This window comes from Homo sapiens, chromosome 2 (assembly GCF_000001405.40).
Source record: "Homo sapiens chromosome 2, GRCh38.p14 Primary Assembly".
Classification (NCBI taxonomy): Eukaryota; Metazoa; Chordata; class Mammalia; order Primates; family Hominidae; genus Homo; species Homo sapiens.
In genome coordinates this window covers 10,449,690-10,469,052 of record NC_000002.12, presented here as the reverse complement: position 1 = coordinate 10,469,052, position 19,363 = coordinate 10,449,690, and the positions used below count along the sequence as shown (strand labels likewise).

General features: G+C 49.3%; 1 long non-coding RNA gene across 1 annotated transcript, besides 4 other annotated features; it reads right to left on the bottom strand.

The window, feature by feature from the left end:
• Positions 1,620-2,120: an enhancer, noted in NCBI's record as "H3K4me1 hESC enhancer chr2:10607059-10607559 (GRCh37/hg19 assembly coordinates)". NCBI's record gives its function as "activates a minimal SCP1, AML or CMV promoter by ChIP-STARR-seq in primed H9 embryonic stem cells {active_cell/tissue: H9 hESC(primed)}" and the evidence as "EXISTENCE:reporter gene assay evidence [ECO:0000049][PMID:30033119]".
• Positions 2,121-2,621: an enhancer, noted in NCBI's record as "H3K4me1 hESC enhancer chr2:10606558-10607058 (GRCh37/hg19 assembly coordinates)". NCBI's record gives its function as "activates a minimal SCP1, AML or CMV promoter by ChIP-STARR-seq in primed H9 embryonic stem cells {active_cell/tissue: H9 hESC(primed)}" and the evidence as "EXISTENCE:reporter gene assay evidence [ECO:0000049][PMID:30033119]".
• Positions 7,907-8,406: an enhancer, noted in NCBI's record as "H3K4me1 hESC enhancer chr2:10600773-10601272 (GRCh37/hg19 assembly coordinates)". NCBI's record gives its function as "activates a minimal SCP1, AML or CMV promoter by ChIP-STARR-seq in naive H9 embryonic stem cells {active_cell/tissue: H9 hESC(naive)}" and the evidence as "EXISTENCE:reporter gene assay evidence [ECO:0000049][PMID:30033119]".
• Positions 8,407-8,908: an enhancer, noted in NCBI's record as "H3K4me1 hESC enhancer chr2:10600271-10600772 (GRCh37/hg19 assembly coordinates)". NCBI's record gives its function as "activates a minimal SCP1, AML or CMV promoter by ChIP-STARR-seq in naive H9 embryonic stem cells {active_cell/tissue: H9 hESC(naive)}" and the evidence as "EXISTENCE:reporter gene assay evidence [ECO:0000049][PMID:30033119]".
• Positions 13,501-19,325, bottom strand: ODC1-DT (ODC1 divergent transcript). Its single transcript, NR_110597.1, has 5 exons — positions 19,182-19,325; positions 18,772-19,000; positions 16,584-16,772; positions 14,995-15,184; positions 13,501-13,630 (listed from the first exon to the last, which is right to left on the bottom strand). It is a non-coding gene; the product is annotated as an ODC1 divergent transcript (long non-coding RNA).

Sequence of the window (19,363 nt, the reverse complement as noted above, 5' to 3'; positions counted from 1 at the left end):
GTGTGTATGAGGCCCGTAGAATCCAATGTGAAGGACTGAATACAAGCCACATTACAAAAATGGCCCCAAATACAGCAAAGCACATCCGACAGGGCCGGGCCTCCCCTCTCCAGTGATGGGGGTGAACAGAGGGGTGGGCTCATTCTTTAAGGCAAAGCTGTTTCTTCTCATTTTAGAAAATAACATTTATGGCCTGACACTGTGGCTCACACCTGAAATTCCAGCACTTTGGGAGGTTGAGGTGGGAGGACAGCTTGAGCCCAGGAGTTCAAGACCAGCCTGAGCAACATAGTGAGACTCTGTCTTTACAAAAAACTTTAAAAAATTAGTTGGGTGTGGTGTTGCATGCCTGTAGTCCCAGCTACTCCAGGAAGCTGAAGTGGGAGGATTGCTTGAGCCCAGGAGTTAGAGGCTGCTGTAAGCTACGATCGCACCACTGTAGTCCCGCCTGGGTGACAGGGCAAGACCCTGTCTTAAACAAAAAATTAATAGTACTTTTAAAAAGTGAGTGCTCCTTATTACAACCACCAGGATGCTTAATGGTTATGAGGTTTCCTTTCAGGGTGATGAAAACATTCTGGAAGTCAACAGTGGTGCTGGTTGCAGGACATTGTGAATGTACTGAATGCCACTAAATGGTACACTTTATTTATTTATTTATTTATGTTCAGATGGAGTTTTGCTCTTGTTGCCCAGGCTGGAGTGCAATGGCTCGATCTCCGCTCACTGCAACCTCCGCCTCCCGGGTTCAAGCGATTCTCCTGCCTCAGCCTCCTGAGTAGCTGGGATTACAGGCGCCTGCCACCACGGCTGGCTAATTTTGTATTTTTAGTAGAGACGGGGTTTCTCCATGTTGGTCAGGCTGGTCTCAAACTCCTGACCTCAGGTGATCCGCCCCTCTCAGCCTCCCAAAGTGCTGGGATTATAGGCATGAGCCATCATGCCCGGCTGAATGGTACACTTTAAAATGGTAAATTTTGGCCAGGCACAGTGGCTTACACCTGTAATCCCAGCACTTTGGGAGGCCAAGGTGGGCACATCACCTGAGGTCAGGAGTTTGAGACCAGCCTGGCCAACATGGTGAAACCCCATCTCTACTAAAAATAAAAAAATTAGATGGGCATGGTGGCATGCGCCTGTAGCCCCAGCTACTCAGGAGGCTGAGGAAGGAGAATCGCTTGAACGTGGGAGGTGGAGGCAGCGGAGAGCTGAGATCGCACCACTGCACTCCAGCCTGGGTAACACAGTGAGACTCTGTTTCAAAATAAATAAATAAATAAATAAATATAAAATAGTAAATGTTATGTGCATTTGACCTCACTCACACACATTGTCCATCCCGGCACGTGAGGCGTGCCCTGCACCAGGCAAGGTGAGGACACAGCACTGGACAAGACCCGCCCCTCCCGCCCAGTGTTCCTTCTGGTTAACGGCACAGACACTCTCAGTGAAGTGGGACTCGGCCAGCAACAGAAGTGAACGGGGCGGACTCCTCCACCAGCTATAGGCTATGGCGCTGACATCTGCTGGATGGAAGTGGTGCCCGTCCCGCTGCTTCCAGGAGACAGGCAGAGTTACCGCAATGGTGGCAGCCCCTCTGCTGCTTTTCCCTCCCCTCCCCCGGGGCACCCCGCAGCACCCCACTTCTAGAACTAAGAAAGGTGGGCTGTATTCTAAGATGTTGCTTGCAAGTCAGTCATTTGAAATGTGAGATGTATTTTACCCCAGCAACACTGTGATGAAAGGCAAATACTGGCCCCAAATAGCCCATGAAACCAAGTCAGCTCATGTGTTTGAAACAGTACACACTTGTCATGAAAAATAATTGAAAATGATGGTCCTAGAATACAAACGGGACCCTTGCTTCATGTGACCTCGGCAGCCTGTGGGTACAGATGCGTCTAGATTACCGAAGGCACCAAAGACCTTACCTGCTCTCACCCTACCTCTCACACGGGTCCTTCTGGCCCTGAGAGCTACACCCGCCCAGATGACTCTAGGAGACCCCTGCTGTCGGTTCTCTCTCCTACGACTGCAGCATGTGCCAAGGCCATCTTGGGGGCCAGCGTTGGTGCTGAGGGCAAAAGATGCCTTGGGGCCCTTGAGCAGCCTCCTGCGGCACCAGAGTCTTGAATCTGGTGACCGTCAGCCTGTGGGGCCCCCTCTGGCCCTTGGCCTGGAGGAATGGGGTAGGGAGGGGTGCAGTGAACCCCTTCACAATGCCCAGCACACTGGAGTCCAGTCTGCAAGTTGGCCAACATACTTGAAAGGAGTCACTGTTGGGTGTCATTGGAGGCAGAAAATGTCTTGGTGGCTGGTCATTTCTGCTAATGCCATTGAAAGAACTTTCCAGAACTTAGGAGGCGAGGAACCAGAGAGTGACTTTTCACTCCCCTCAGTTTGTTCAATCTGTAGCCATTCACTGAGCATCGCCCGCCTGTTTCTCTAGTTTTGGATCTAGAGAAGTATATTTGCCATCGCCTAGCACTAGAAGGCCTGGATTCCTGCCTTGCTATTTCAATAGACATATAAAGCCTCCTTGAGCTTTCATCTCCTTGTCTTTGTCTTTGAAACAGTTCTCTTTTGTTTGTTTGTTTGACAGGGTCTTGCTGTTGCCCAGGCTGGAGTGCAGCGGTATGATCATAGCTCATTGCAGCCTCAACCTCCTGGGCTCAAGCAATCCTCTCATCTCAGCCTCCTGAATAGCTGAGACTACAGGCAGACGCCACCACGCCCGGCTAATTTTTTACTTTTTGTATAGACTGAGTCTCATTATGTGGCCAGGCTGGTCTTAAACTCCTGGACTCAAGCAATCCTCTTGCCTCAGTCTCCCAAAGTGCTGGGACTGCAGGCGTGTACCACAGCGTCCGGCCTGAAATAGCTCCTGCTTCACAAAGTTGTTACAAGGGTTAAAGAAGATAAACACATGCCAGCATTCTGTAAATTGGAACGCACTAGGTAAATGCCAAATAACTAAGTAAACACAGAATGCGTAGGCAGATGGCTTTGGGGTACAGGTTCTTCCAGGGCTTTATTACTGTTTTATTTATGATAAAATTAATGATAGAGTATGCAAATGCTTAAACCCACTACCACCTCAGAATAGTACCCTTCCCCATCCAAGCATGGTGGTGAACTCACAAGGAGTCAAATAAAATCAAAGTAAAATCTTCTGTGTACCTATACATATAGTGGGATACGAGGATGATATTACAGCACATGCATATTTTTTTCACGTAAATCCTGGTCAATTAACAATCCTGGTCAAAACATACAGGTCTAGAGTGAGGGCCCTTTGCCTGTTATGCAGATGGGCTCCAAGGCATGGGAAGGCTTGGAAATCCTGGGAAGAGTTCACAGGGTGTCACATATCATGTTCCCATGGGAGCCTATAACCTCCAAGCCGAGGATGCTGCTTCAGGTCGGTGCTTTCCCAGCACCCTTGTGCACATAGATCATGGGGGCCTTTATCAAAAATCAGGTTCTGGGTCGGGCGCGGTGGCTCATGCCTGTAATCCCAGCACTTTGGGAGGCTGAGGCGGGCGGATCACGAGGTCAGGAGATCGAGACCATCCTGACTAACATGGTGAAACCCTGTCTCTACTAAAAATACAAAAAATTAGCCGGGCGTGGTGGCAGGTGCCTGTAGTCCCAGCTACTTGGGAGGCTGGGGCAGGAGAATGGCATGAACCCGGGAGGCATAGCTTGCAGTGAGCCGAGATTGCGCCACTGCACTCCAGCCTGGGTGACAGAGCGAGACTCCGTCTCAAAAAAAAAAAAAAAATTCAGGTTCTGCCAGGTGCGGTGGCTCATGCCTGTAATCCCAGCACTTTGGGAGGCCAACGCAGGCAGATCACTTGAGGTCAGGAGTTCAAGACCAGCCTGGGCACCATAGCGAAATCACTACAAAAAATACAAAAATTAGCCAGGTGTGGTGGCTCATGCCTGTAGTCCCAGCTACTCAGGAGGCTGAGGCAGGAGAATCGCTTGAGCCTGAGAGGTGGAGGTTGCAGTGAGCTGAGATCACGCCACTGCACTCCAGCCTGGGTGAGAGAGCAAGACCCAGTCTCAAAAAACAAACAAAAAACAAAACTCAGGTTCTAGCTCAGAAGTTCTGGCGTATGGCCTGAGATTCTGTGTTTCTACCAAGACCCCAGGATGCCGCTGGGACCCAGGCCTGGGTCTCGCAGCCTTCATCCCAGGCACCAGGTTCGGGTCACCTCGAGGGCTATAGGAGTAGCGTCTGGGCTCCAGCCCCCGAAGCATTTCTGTTTTCTTCGTCTGGGTGAGCCTGAGCATTGGCACATTTTAAAAAGCTCCCTAGGTGATTCTTACGTTAATCTAAGACTGTCCATTCCAGGGCAGCAGATTTGTCAACCGAGCAAAATGTTCATATTCTCTTACTATTAAAATAAAACATATGATGCTGTTTAATGATCATGTCAAAATAAAATAAAATAAAACATGGGGATGCAATGACAAAGTGGGAAAGCACCTACCGCAGTGGATGTCGGCACACAGCCACTCAGGCAGCGTGAGCCATCATCAACAACAGGGCAATATTAAAGACAGTTAAGATGGGAGGATAGCTTGAGCCCAGAGGTTCAAGACCAGCCTGGGCAACATGGCAAAACTCGGTCTCTACTAAAACTCAAAAAATAAATAAAGTAGCTGGGCCTGGTGGTGTGAACCTCTGGTCCCAGCTACTCAGGAGGCTGAGGTAGGAGGATCACTTGAGTCCGGGAGGTCGAGGCTGCAGTGAGCTGAAATGGCACCAATGCACTCCAGTCTGAGCGACAGAGTAAGACCCTGTCTCCACCACCCACCCCAAAAAAAAGGTAAAACAAAAAATAGTTAACAATTGTGTGACGCAGAAAGTGAACTCTAATGTCAACTGTGGACTTTAGTTAATAATAATGTGTTGGTATTTCAATATTGGCTCATCAATTGTAACAAATGTACCACACTGATCAAGGTGTAAACAGTGAGGAAATTGGGGTAGGAGAGTATATACTCTGAATGTTCTGCTCAATTTTTCTGAAACTTAAAAATGCTCCAAAATTAAAAAGTCTATTAATTAAAGAAAAATTAATAACTGGTACCACAGAGACACTGGCCAATGCTGAGTCCCACAGGCCCCCTGAAAAGCAGGGAGCAGCCCTTTAGTTACTGAATTATAGGGAGGGAGGGAGGGAGGAAGGGAGGGAGGAAGGGAGGGAGGGAGGGAAGGAAGCAGGGAGGGTCTCAAGGGATGCGGAGGGCTGCAGAATTATTTTGATATTTAAACAACTGGCATGGCCCTAACACCTGGATATCAACTCTGATGAATAATTGAAGAGACAAGTTCTCGTTCTGTCACCCAGGCTGGAGTGCAGTGGCACAATCATTGCTCACTGCAGCTTCAAACTTCAAGCTGCTCCCACCTCAGTCTTCCGAGTAGGCAGGACTACAGGTGCGTGCCACCATGCCTAGCTATTTAAAAAAAAAAAGTTTTGTAGAGATGGGGACTCACTGTGTTGCCCAGTCTGGTCTCGAACTCCTGGGCTCAAGCAATCCTCCTGCCTTGGCCACCCAAAGTGCTGGGATTATAGGCGTGAGCCACCACACCCACCCTATTTTTTTTTTAATATTTATTTATTTATTTATTTTGAGACCAGGTCATGAGACTGGCTAATTTTTGTATTTTTGGTAGAGACAGGTTTTCATCATGTTGCCAAGGCTGATTTTGAATTCCTGGGCTCAAGCAATCCACCCACCTCGGCCTCCCAAAGTGCTGGGATTACAGGCGTGAGCCACTGCGCCCAGCCCCAGCCTATTATTATTGTTGTTATTATTTTATATTAGTTAAAAGGAGAAATGAAAAAAGCAAAGAAGTAGCAACCCAATAGAACAGGTACAATTATCCTCATTTTACACATGAAGAAACTGAGGCACAGAGAAGTTTGCTTTGTCCAAGGTCACGCAACTGTCCAATGGAGAAGCTGGGATTTGAACCCAAGTTTATCTGCCTCAAAACCTAATCTCTTTTCAGAAGAGAAAGACTCTCCCTGGCCAAGATTGCTGGCACCTAGCTCGTCTGTTACCAGTTTACTCCTTCATGTAGATGGTCATGAAGCTGGCGTTTGCAAAGTGCCAAAAGTTCAGCTGCACTTGCAATCTGGAGGTGAGAGCTCCCGCACAGCATGGCCACGCCCCTCCCTGGGCGGATCCCTTCTCTTCCCAGTGCCTCACCTTTACATCTGGAGAAAGTCAGTGTCGTAAGGACCCTTACACCTCATCTGATCAGTTGCCCTGACTTCCCATTTTATAGATGGGAAATGTAGGGTTCAGATAGGGAGACAACTCAGCTAAAGTCACACAACCCCTGTGTGCAGAGCTGGGGCTGGGCACCAGGTCCTCTGCCACCCAGCACGCTGCTCTGCCTGCCCCCGTGGAGCCACAGCGCACACATGTGCCGCTGCCCTTGGCTGGAGTGCAGATCAGAGCATGTGCGTTTTCATTGCCTACGTACAAGTGCCCATGTGCTGTGTGCAATTAAGCCATGAGGGGCCGTCTCCACCTTCAAGTCAGTGGGCCACAAGTCCACTCTCTGTGAGCCATGCTCAGTGACATCACTGGGAGTTGTCCACAGAGGTGTGACAGTGTCACACATACCTCCCTTTGCTTCAAATGCACAGGTCAGCATCTTTCTGGATTCTTCATACAGGTCAGTGTGTGCTTTGCAAAAACTAAGGATAGATGAGAGCCGATTTAGTACAATCAGGGACTTGCTTTTATGAATAGGAAGAATAGGCTTTGTCCAGCAGCATGAAAAAGTTGTTTTAAAGTTAAAATTATGTCATTGGGTGGCCCTCAGACTCTGGCGATGAATGACACCTCACCAGACGGTTACAGGGGTGATTTCTTCCAAAAGGAGGTTAAAGCTGAGGATGCACAGTTCATGGCTTAGGGGGACACTCCCACTTGCTTCTGAGGCACTGTGTGAGCAGACTTTCAAGAAATATCCTGTCCTGGACCAGATTCCCGCCCTGAGAACACAGTTATTAAAGGCCCAGGTTGAAAGGGGACCACAGTCCCAATGAGTTCAGGTTGTGTTAAAAATGCACGTGCCGTCGGGTACGTTGGTTGCCATTTGTATACCTAATGTCAATGTTTAAGACTTTGACCTAGAGCTACAATGTCCAATATGAGAGCCACCAGCTAGGCATGGCTATTTAGGTTTGCACAAAGTAAAATGAAATATAATTAATAGGCTGGGCACGGTGGCTCACGCCTGTAATCCCAGCACTTTGGGAGGCCGAGGTGGGTGGATCACCTGAGGTCAGGAGTTCAAGACCAGCCTGGCCAACATGATGAAACCCCATCTCTACTAAAAACACAAAAATTAGCTGGGCATGCTGGCACACGCCTATAATCCCAGCTACTCAGGAGGCTGAAGCAGAGAATTGCTTGAGCTCGGGAGGTGGAGGTTGCGGTGAGCCGAGATCATGCCATTGCACTCCAGCCTGGGCAACAAGAGCAAAACTCCATCTCAAAAAAAGAAAAAAAATAGAAATACAATTAATTCAGTTTCTTAGTCACCCTGGCCACATTTCAAGTGCTCAAGAACTACACGTGGCTCATGGCCGCTGTATTAGACAGTGAAGATCCAGAACACTTCCATGATTGCAGAATCAACACTTGGGTCCAGAGAGCAAGTGCTGTTGATGGGAGAGAGAGCATCAGATACAGCCTGGGGAAGCAATTGGCAAGGCCAGACCACCATGAGCACGGCACTGAGAGCCTGACAGCTAGACTGAATGGATTGAGGATCTTTGTCTCTTCTCCAGGGGCCACGCAGGCCTGAAGAACAGAGAGAAGCCACTGAAACAGATGCTTTCTCTAGACCTCGTCCGAAAATCTGGACCTCAGGACAGTGTGCGCCATCTCATCCTAAGACCAGCGGGGGCAGAACCAGTGACTGCACCATGGAATTAAAGCTGTTCTGCCTGGCATGAGTTCTAGAATAAACCTGCTTGGTGGGACACACGGAGGATTCACGCGGGGATTACAAGCAGGCTCTTACTTTGCAATTGGCATGTATCATTGGTCCTGGAAAGCCAATTATGAGCAGATTATTATAAATCAAATCCTATTCTTCCAGAAAAATGTTTCTGGTTATTACTGAGGAATGTTTGGTTTCCAGGAACCAAATTGACCTCAATTAAGTAAAGGGAGATAATTCTCAGAAGTTGGGGAAATTGTGTGAAAGCTGAGGGAGGCAGTTCTGCCCTGACTGGGCTGGAAGTGGACTCTGAAGGGCCAGGTGGCGCCCTATCCTTCCCATGTGCCCTCATTGCTGCTGTCTCGGCTGTGGATGTCATTCTTTTCTGTGCATACGGGCTTGTGTGGCTCCCGCATCAGCCCGCACGCCGTTCATCGTGGCTGACTCCAACGACTGGTTTCCATCCCCAGCCTCCCACGTTAGCTCCAGTGCCTGGGGCGCCCTCAGACCACAATCCAGTCTGAGGGAATCTGACCCGTCTGGTTTTATCTACACATCCAATCACTTGAGCCCGAGGGTAGATATATTCTAAGACTGGAAGGCACAGGTGCTCTCAAAAGGGGAGGAGGAGGAGGAGGAAATGGCGGCCTCTCTGGTATAGTTTGGCGTAAGTCAGAGCCGCCTTCGTGGTGTGGTTAGAAAAGAGAAAACAACTGGAAACTCTATGATCATTCACAGTGATCAAACTCAGCTGGAAATTCAAGATGTGAACCTAAATTTACAGTGTCCAAGTATCAAGAAAGTCTGCTACATAAAGAGCTTAATGAATATTTGTCCAACGAATGGACAAATATTTGTCCAATGAATGAATGGACCCACTGAATTTCAAAAGACACAAAGGGGTCTGGGCACAGTGGCTCAAACCTGTAATCCCAGCACTTTGGGAGGCCAAGGCGGGCAGATCACTTGAGGTCAGGAGTTCGAGACCAGCCTGGACAACATGGTGAAACCCTGTCTCTACTAAAAATACGAAAATTAGCTGGACATGGTAGCGCATGCCTATAGTCCCAGCTACTTGGGAGGTTGAGGCAGGAGAACTGCTTGAACCCAGGAGGTGGAGTTTGCAGTGAGCCGAGATGGACTCACTGCACTCCATCCTGGGCAGGAAAGTGAGGCTCTGTCAAAAAAAAAAAAAAAGACAAAGGGTAGAGGAATTTTATATCATATATTTGACTGTAAGAAGGAAAAAAACTCCTTCCTTCTGCACCTCAAATGGACATTAAGTTTCCGACATCTTTCTTTTGATGGACATTTACTGAAGACCCACCCTGCAGCTCACACAGCAATGAGGGCGTAGACACAGAACCCGCCTCCCAAAACTCCAAGTCCTGAGTGCAGTCTAGTGGGGAAGACAAAAGTAGTAACCACATTAAAGTATGTGCAAGTACCCCTAAAGATGAAGAAAATCTGAACGTGTATTTCCTCACTCTCTTGATAAATTTCACTATAGCAAATACAACATCAACAATCACTCCAAAGTATTTTAAGAGGCGCTTAATGTTATTTTGAAGAGAAAGATGATGTTTCTCCCATCCAATAGCATTTTAAATATGTTTTAAGTTAACAAAATAATTTGCTTGTTGATTAAAAGTTAAGTACAGAACAGCATAACTGATCATTATATCAGGACTGACTATACCAAGCAAACCAGGATCTTCTCCCCACTGAAGTGTCATGTAGGATCCCATGCCTACTTTAAGTCAGCACCGAGAGTCTGCATAGAATGGGATGCCAAATATCTGAAATCAGGACCTTACTGGAGACTGTGTGTGTGTGGTCTCTGTATTTCCGTGAGCTTGGTTTCTATGTGGGCACGGTGAGAAAACATCGTCGTCCATGAACCATGCAATCTCATGGGGTGACAAGACAGCACGCACACCTAAACACTAACAGTCCACCTTGTCAAAGGAGCAGAGACCAGACAAGACGAGATATGGCCAAGGTAACGAGCTCCCAGGAAGGCCAGAAGCAGTGCGGTTACTGGGGCTTCATGATTTGAGATGAGACAGATTTCTTTTTTTTTTTTTTTTTGAGATGGAGTCTCGCTCTGCCACCCAGGCTGGAATGCAGTGGTGCGATCTCGGCTCACCGCAACCTCCACCTCCCGGGTTCAAGCGATTCTCCTGCCTCAGCCTCCTGAGTAGCTGGGACTACAGGTGCGTGCCACCAGGCCCAGCTAATTTTTTGTTTCTTTTTAGTAGAGAGGGGGTTTCACCGTGTTAGCCAGGATGGTCTTGATCTCCTGACCTCGTGATCTGCCCGCCTCAGCCTCCCAAAGTGCTGGGATTTAGGCGTGAGCCACCACGCCCGGCCGAGATAAGACAAATTTCAATCATCAAAGATCTAAGCATGACGTCTAGGTGAGGGAAGCAGCACGCTGTTGATGCAGAAGCCGGGAAGCAGGGAAGGGGAGGGGCAGTGCAGTTACTGAGCCCCTACCAACATCAAGGCTTGCGCTAGGTTCTTTATAGTTTAACTGATAGTCTTACAACCATGACCCTGCAAAATCCTATATCCAACAACCCTACAAAATAACCGTTAGATCCAGCCTCAGAGACGTGGAAAGACTTAGCCAAGACTCCCTGGGTGGCTGCAATGAGAGCTAACATGTACCCTTACCAGGTGTGCGTTCCAGGCCAGGTGTGGTGGTTTAGGAAGGGTGGGTCCAGGGGCGCTCTCTGCCCCAGGTGCAGGCAATAAGGACACGCATTGTCTGCAGATCATGTTAAAACAATAATAAAACTGACTAAAAGTTGCTCTGCTTGTTATTATCATCATGCCCATCAATTCTAAACAGTGTCACTGATAAAATACTCCTCCCTGAAAAAGATCCCTTTGTTCTAAACAATTGCTGAGGTTATGATGGTGTTTTAATAATACATATGTGAACTTCAGGTTTTTATTAGTTGTCCTTTCATAAACATATTCCGCACCTAAATTAATTCAGAGAACTCCTGGTTCCACAGCTGGCCTCTGATTCACACAGATTTGGCTACGTGTTCATTGGGAAAGTGTCCAAAGTTTTTTCAGTCCTTCAGCTGGCGGGCCAACTTGTTCCGGTTCACCCAGGACTTTTCTGATTTTAGCACTGAAAGTCCCAGACCAACAACTGACCACCTCACCTTTGCGCCCAAAACAGGAGCAAGACATATCTCCAACTCTCATGACATTTGCAAGAAACAGTACCACTGTGATTGTGAAGGCAAAGAGGCAGCATTTAACCAGTTAAATTCCATCATTACACATGGGATTTTGGTGTTGAAAATTTAAACAGTGAAAATGTTAACTGCAAGATGGAATATTTTTGTTTGATACATGCAAACAAAATTTATTGTTTTAATTTATACACAAAATGTTTAACTTAGTTTGAATAATATCTTTAAAATTGAAGTTTCTTCTTTTAAAATTTTTTGTTTTACACCTGAAGAACACAACAGGAAAATCATGACTGCCTATTTTTACACAGGTTATCACAGAAAGTAATCCTATTGTATTGCGATGGTTCATACTGAGTGTCAACTTGATTGAACTGACAGTATTGATCCTGGGTGTGTCTGTGAGGGTGTTGCCAAAAGAGATTAACATTTGAGTCAGTGGGCTGGGGAAGGCAGATCCACCCTTAATCTGGTGGGCACCACCTAATCAGCTGCCAGCGGATATAAAGCAGGCAGAAAAACATGAAAAGGAGAGTCAGGCCTGGCCTCCCAGCTTCCATCTTTCTCCTGTGCTGGATGCTTCCTGGACTCGAACATCAGACTCCAAGTTCTTCAGTTTTGGGACTTGAACTGGCTCTCCTTGCTCCTCAGCCTGCAGACGACCTATTGCAGGACCTTGTGATTGTGTAAGTTAATACTTAATAAACTCCCCTTTATATAAATCTATAGAGAGAGAGATATCCTATTAGTTCTGTCCCTCTAGAGAACCCTGACTAATACATATACCAAGGAAGGGATGTCAAGAAAAATTAACTGTTTCAGGGGTCAAATACAGTAGCCACAGCCTTGGTGCTGTGCGTAAATAATCTCATTTAATTCCCGTGAGGTGGCTTCTATTATTTTCTCCATTGAGAGATGAAGAAACTGAGATTCAGGGAAATTAATTAACCTGCCTATGAGAGGCTGGGATTCAAATCCATGTGCTCCGTCTCCAGGGCCTGCCCTCTTGACATATTAAAACCCAGACATACCCAACCCCAAAGCTGGGCTCTTCCAGACAGAACTTCTTGCTAGGCTATGAGGGTCCTGGCTAAGAATTTCATTATAAAAATATTGTAGCTGCTTCTTTCAGTTGCATGGCTGCATAACAAATTACCCCAAAACTTAGTGGGGTTAACAACCATCTTTTATATGTCTGCTGGATTCTGGGGGTCAGGGACAATAGGTACTGGTTTGTCTGCTGGCTGATGTCTGTGAATGCAGCGCTCTTCAGGGACTGAGCTCTGGGGATTGCAGCCTTATAAGCGTCGCATGCTGCACTGAGCTTCTACAGTGAGCCCTGCACAAATCCATCTCCATTCTTCAAAACAACCTGGGGAGCCCTGGAGTGATCTCAGATTCAGCCCCAAGGTGGGTATCCTCTGCCATTCTCCTCTCCTTTCTTCTAGCAGTCCAGCCCTGCTTTTGTTCTGATAGTGGATGGTTCCCTAGGGCTGCTATAACACAGCACCACTGTGCTTAAACGACAGAAATCTATCATCTCACAGTTCCAGGGGCCAGAGGTCTGAGATCAAGGGGTTGGCGGGCTGGCTTCCCTCTGAGGGCAGCGAGCATCTGCGCTGTGCCTTCCCCGAGCTCCCAGTGACTTACTGGTTGTCTCTGAAGTTCCTCGGTGTGTAGAGGCATCACCCTTATCTCTGCCGCATTCACAAGGTGTTTTCCCTGTGCGTCTCCATCGTCCCCCATCTTTTTATGGCTCACTGCAGCCTCAAATTCCTGGACTCAAGCGATCCTCCCACCTCAGCCTCCTGAGTAGCTGGGACTACAGGCATGCACCACCACACTCGGCTAATTTTTTTGTTTTTAATTTTTTTTATAGATACCGGTCTCCCTATGTTACCCAAGCTGGTCTTGAACTCCTGCCCTCAAGCAATCCTCCTGCCTTGGCCTCTCGAGGCACTGGGATTATATGTGTGAGCCACTACACCCAGCCCCAAATTTCCCCTTTATATCAGGACACCAGCCCACCCTAACACCCTCATTTAACTTAATGACCTCCATAAAGACCCTATCTCCTAATAAATTCACGTTCTGCAATACTAGGGTTAGGACTCAACATACGGTCTCGGGGGCAGGGGACATAATGTAACCCATAACAGAGGGCATCTTCATGCTCTTCGTGGGAGGCCTGAACCCATTTCCACGCAAAAGAGTGGATCCTAGTGGGTTTAGTCAACCATGGAGGGATGGGGGAAGGCGAAGGGATCCGTGCATTCCTCCTGGGGAGCCGAGGGGAAGGATGCTGGTCAAACTGGTTTCTTAGATAAAAAGAGACATAGAGGAAGAGATGCTTCTCCCTCTGTCCACAAGCCTTCCTGGGGCAGCCTTCTTGGAACCATGAAGAGAGCTGGGCCAACACCTGGGCAAGGAACTGCAAAAACAGGAAAAGAATCCAGGTCTTCAACGTTGTTCTTGAGGCTCCGAATACATGAAACTGGAGACTCCCTTCCCCAAGCCACGTTGCTACGTGAGATGACTGCTTTTCCTTATTGCTTAAGCCAATGTGAAATGTCACCAGTGCTTACCAGAACTCTGGTTAGAAACTGTCCTACAAGAAGGCAGAAGGAAGACTCTGACGGGCCTACCGCCAAGGGGCCGAGCCTGCCCTTGCCCGCCCGCTCTCAGACCCATTCCCCACTCCCACTGTGCCTCTGCTGTTTCTCTGGTGGAGTGGACAGGGCTGGCCTTGGAAAATGACACTGACCGGGATCTCTTGTCAACAGGCTTCTGACTGGGAAGTGCTGGTGGGAGCCTGGAGGATGGGCGGAGGGGAGAGCTGGCTCCTGTCCCTCCTCTCTGTCTCCATCTCCCTCTCCCTCTCTTGGCTTCGCAGCCTCCCCAGCACTAGCTGCTTGCCCTTGGTGGTCAGTGGGTTTCTCTGGGACAGCCCACAGGTGGCTGCCACGCTGCTGGGGACCCTCGTCCCCTTTCATCCCCAGTCCTCTGGGTGATAGTGGCTTCCTGCAGCTGTAAGACATGTCATCTCTGTAACTAGTTCTCTTGCTAAATTCCCTCTGCTGAACTGCCTGCCTGGGCCCTGAGCCATACAGGGCATGGAATGCCAAAGGGAAACATTCTGTGCCCGCATGTGGAGGCCGACCTGCCTTCTACGATGGCGGGGCCCTGCTGTCAGCCAGGATTTGGATGGACTGATGGAGGCTGGAGCTGGGTGAAGTAGCAGCCCCTGGGGGTGAGAGGCTGCTCCCCAGAGTGACTCCTCCTCTGCTCTCCCCTTCACAGCCCTCAGTCCTCTCCCAGAGGAAAGCTGGGCTTGTGGGCGGGAGCCTCCCTTGGTGCCCACAGGTCTTATTCTTGCCCTGGGTGCTGCAGGCCCCTCCCTAACTCTCCCTGGCCCTGGACGAGCCTTTCCAAACCCAGGCCCCTGCTCCCTCGGCTGCGTCCACCTCCTTTGTCTGTGTGACCACTGTCCCAGGGACCAGAACCTAGAGAGCACAAGCCTGGGGGCAGCCTCCCCTCTGGACCATGAGCTCCTGGAGCACAGGGACCTCCTTGGCCTCCCCTCCTTCTCCCTGGCACCTGGCAGGGGCGCTGGCACAGAGCAAGTGCTCACAGCTGTTAGAACAGAGACAGGGAGCACTGCCCTCAGGGTACCCTACCCCTTGGAGGGCCCGCAAGGCTCGGTGTAGCAGACCCCAGCCACAGGCCCTTCGGATGGTCCCGCCTCTGACTTGGCAGGGACGCAGAGCTCACACTGCCCCTGGGCAGAGCACTCACCTTCCTGAAGACCCAGGTTGTGCAAGGGCCCTCCGCATGCTGCTCCCTGTCACGAGAGGAAAAAATCTTGCAGGCGCTGGGGCTTCCCAGAGGTGGGGCCCCACCAGGGTGAGGCTCTGGCAAAAATGGGGCAGTGGCAAAGCCCAGCAGAGGTGCTGCAACTTGTTGGGTCAGAGGGAGTCACCAGGCGCTTAGGAGAAAATAAAACAAAAGAGGCAGTTTCCTTAGGCACTGGGTAAAAGCGAGGCTTCTCTTGGCTCTTATCAATTCCCTGCTGGTCCCCAGGAACCCGGCCCAGCCACAGAGGGTCCTCCCTTGTCCTGCCTGCCACTTGCACACAGGTGGCACTCAGCAGACACGTATGGAATGAATCAACAAACAACTGACTAAAGGAAGAACACCCAGGGTCTTTTGTTCCCCTAATCTTAGATAGCACGTGGGGAGAAATTCTCCTGAGCTAATCACTCGTATAGCAACCACAAATGACCACTTTTCAGCACAGCCTCGCTTGCTTTCTTTTGTTCCCAATAGCCCACAGGTGCTACTAAACCCAGTTTCAACTTGACAATATTGAATGGCTTTGTGAGCCAGGAACCAGGCTAGAAACTGAACATATGGAGAGAAGAAAATCATGGTCCTGATTTCAAAGGGAGAGTTGCGGGGAGGGGAAGGCAGGATGGAGGCAGGAAACAAAGGTGCCCACACCACGTGACCCACGTTACGATGGCAGGGGCAGGGTCTGTGGAACATCAGTGGCTCAGGGAGCTGGAGTGGCAAAAGAGGCTGGGAGGGTGGGCAGGGCAGGCCTCAGAGGGTCCTGGGTGCCAGGCTAAGGTGTTTGGACTTTACTCTGTGGACCCAGGGCCACCAGTGAAGGGCTTGAAACAGACAAGCCAAGTAGGCAGATGGCAAAGCTTCTGTCCACGTGTCGGATGGCATGTCTGAATACTGACTCGGTACAGGCTTAATGGGACTCTGACTTCTGCCCACTGAAAAAGACAAGGAAGTGGGAAGCAAAATAATGATAAACATCACTTTCCCCATGAAAATGAACTCCTCCAGGCCGGGTGCGGCGGCTCACACCTGTAATCCCAACACTTTGGGAGGCTGAGACGGGCGGATCATTTGAGGTCGGGAATTTGAGACCAGCCTGGCCAACATGGCGAAAACCTGTCTCTACTAAAAATACAAAAAATTAGCCAGGAGTGGTGGTGCACGCCTGTAGTCCCAGCTACTCAGGAGGCTGAGGCATAAGAATAACTTGAACCCAGGAGGCAGAGGCTGCAGTGAGCCAAGATTGTGCCACTGCACCACTCCAGCCTGGGTGACAGAGTAAGACTGTGTCTCAAAAAAAAAAAAAAAAAGTACTCTTCCAAACTCTCAGCCTCCAGACAAGGGCCCCCTCTTCTCTGCAACTGTGTGTGCCCACTGACCTGCCCCCAGGGCCCTTCTGGGCTCCAGGAGGCCCTGGCCTAGTTCCTATTTGGCTCCTTTCCCAGCAGCTTCCCAGTGAGCCACACCAGGGCTGGGGCAAGGTAGGGCCGTGATGTAACACTTTATAAAACAAACATCCTGGGACTTCCACTTACACATGGGCGTCCTCTGCTTCCAGCAGATCCTTTTGGAGGAGCTCCACTTTTCTGATGATGCCACCATTGCTCAGAGGAAGGAAGGCCTCCCTGAAAGCTGCTTTCTATGCCTCAGGCACGCCATTTGGATTATGGGCAGAGATGGCACACTTTCCACCTTGGAGGGTGGATTGGATTTTTCGGAAACACCTAAAACCATTCAAAGGGCAAGGTTAAAGGACTGGTGAGTGACTGAGCTAAGGAAAACTATTTTTGGCCAAACATCCAGATGGGACTAGAGCATCTGTGACTAGTCCCCATTACCCAGGTGTCCTGAGTTAGGGCACCCTTGCCAGGGCAGAAGCTAACCTCCCAAAGTCCTCATGGGGCTGGAGGTCATGAGCCTCACTCCACAGTCCACTCTTCTATGCTTCTGGAAGAAGTTTGGTGAAGTAGAGTACAACCACGGACACGTAAGCAGCGCCCAAACCCATTTTCCAGAAAGCTCTCAATGTCAAACTTTCCAATACTGAGTAAATGGATACACAAATGCTTGCTGGTTATTGTCTTCTATGTGACCTACTTCTTTTTGATAAGGGTGAGGCCAGGCGCGGTGGCTCACGCCTATCATCCCAGCACTTTGGGAGGCCAAGGCAGGCAGATCACTTGAGGTCAGGAGTTTGAGACCAGCCTGGCCAACATGGTGAAACCCCATCTCTACTAAAAATAGAGAAATCAGCTGGATGTGGTGGTGGGCGCCTGGATTCCCAGCTACTCAGGAGGCTGAGGCAGGAGAATTGCTTGAAACTGGGAGGCAGAGGTTGCAGTGAGCCAGTATTGCGCCACTGCACTCCAGCCTGGGCAACAGAGCAAGCCTCTTGACTCAAATAATAATAATAATAATGATAAGGGTGACTGCTTAAGTCTGCAATCACTATATACCTTTATAAGCCTTTTCATGTAAGTTAGCAAAGAAGAAAAAAGATACTTCCTTCATCAGACATGTTTTTGGTTTTGGTTTAGAAAACTTGGTCAGTGGATTTATACAGAACTCTGTGAAATAAGTAGATTCTTAGAACATTAGAAGGAAAGAAGAACCTGAGCTTTCAGCCAGTCCAACCACCCCATTTTCAGAAAGGTAGTCTGGAACCCAGAGAGACAGAGTGATGTCCAAACTTTCATAATGAGCGGGGCAGAGCGGCGGGGGGGTGGTAAGGGGGCCCAAGGAATCCTAAGAAAATGGGAGTTGGTCCCAGAACTTAGGTGAGATGACTAAGCTCTTAGAAGCATGTCCAGTGTAGTATCTAATGTTTTTATTCACTCTTTTAGCACCACACATAGAAGTCTCATCTCTGGCCAGGCACAGTGGCTCACGCCTGTCATCCCAGCACTTTGGGAGGCCGAGGTGGGTGGATCACTTGAGGTCAGGAGTTTGAGATCAGCCTAGCCAACATGGCGAAACCCCATCTCTACTAAAAATGCAAAAATTAGCTGGGCACGGTGGTACATGCCCGTAATCCCAGCTACTCAGGAGGCCGAGGCATGAGAATCGCTTGAGCCTGGGAGGCAGAGGTTGCAGTGAGACGAGATCACGTCACTGCACTCCAGCCTGGGCAACAGAGTGAGACTCTCAGAAAAAAAAAATAAAAAAGAAATCTCATCTCCACATGAGGGTGATTCCTAAGTGCGTGGCATCACGTATTTTTTTTACAAAGATCTGTTGCTTGTTTCCGAAGAAAAGAAAATAGTAATGGAGAGGATGAAGTTTACTGAAAATACATTGAAAGACAATAAAGTCATGCATTTTAAGTAAGGCCAGGTTTAGTCACCACCACCTGAGCTTCTGGAATCCAGCTGAGTGGTTGGGTTTCACAACTCCAGCCTTGCTGTCCACAGTTCTGCTGCCCAGGGCCTCTGCGGGTCTTCCTGCAGCCGCAGAGCAGAGCTCCGGGGAAGGAGCAGGCCTCCTTCCCTCCTTCTATTTCCCCTGCTGGGCTCTCCAGGCAAGGGCTCACCTTCCCAGCATGCGGGCAGGAGTTTGGGCTTTGGGGTGGGCTGGCGGGAGAGGAAGGTATGTGGGCGATAGCAGTGTGAGTGGCTTGTATGTGCAACAGTCAGAGCCCTCCTGGCTCCCTGAGCCAAGAACTGGCCTCTACGTTCCAGTTAATGTTTCTATCTGACCACCCCCAGGCTGCTAGGGGAACCCTACCTGCCAAGACATCCAGGCCCTCTGCCTGGAGGCTGCATACTGGGCAGTGCTGGGAACGACTGGTTGATAGGTGTGCCGGGAAGCTGGGCGATTCTGGCAGTGCAGGACACTTCCGGAGTGTGAGGAAAATTGCGTCATTGGAACAAAGTGATTCCTCACAGAGAGGCACAAAGTCCGCATCACCACAGAATCAAAGATGTCTCATTCAGCGCTGGAGCTATAACGTTCTCTGATGGGTTTTGATGGTTAATCTCATCAAGAATTAAGCTTGTTAAGGGTGGAGCTAACCCCCCTCTCCCTCCCTCTAGTCCGGGGAACACGGTGCCCGGTGGGCGCTCAAGGACTATGTAAAGATAAAGTTGATAGGGGCGTACCACCCCCACATCCCTTCACATAGGAAGAAGACTCACTTCTGCTTACGGCTAGCGTTTGCTCTGTTTCTGTGGAAGTCGTGCCTGCTCCAGGAAGAGCTGGATCATCCATTCATTCATTTATGCATGCATTCATTAAACAGGTATTCACTGACTGTGCCTCAGACCTGGTTTTGGGTACCAAGGAAGTTTTTCAAAACCTCACAGGGCTTTGTAGCTAT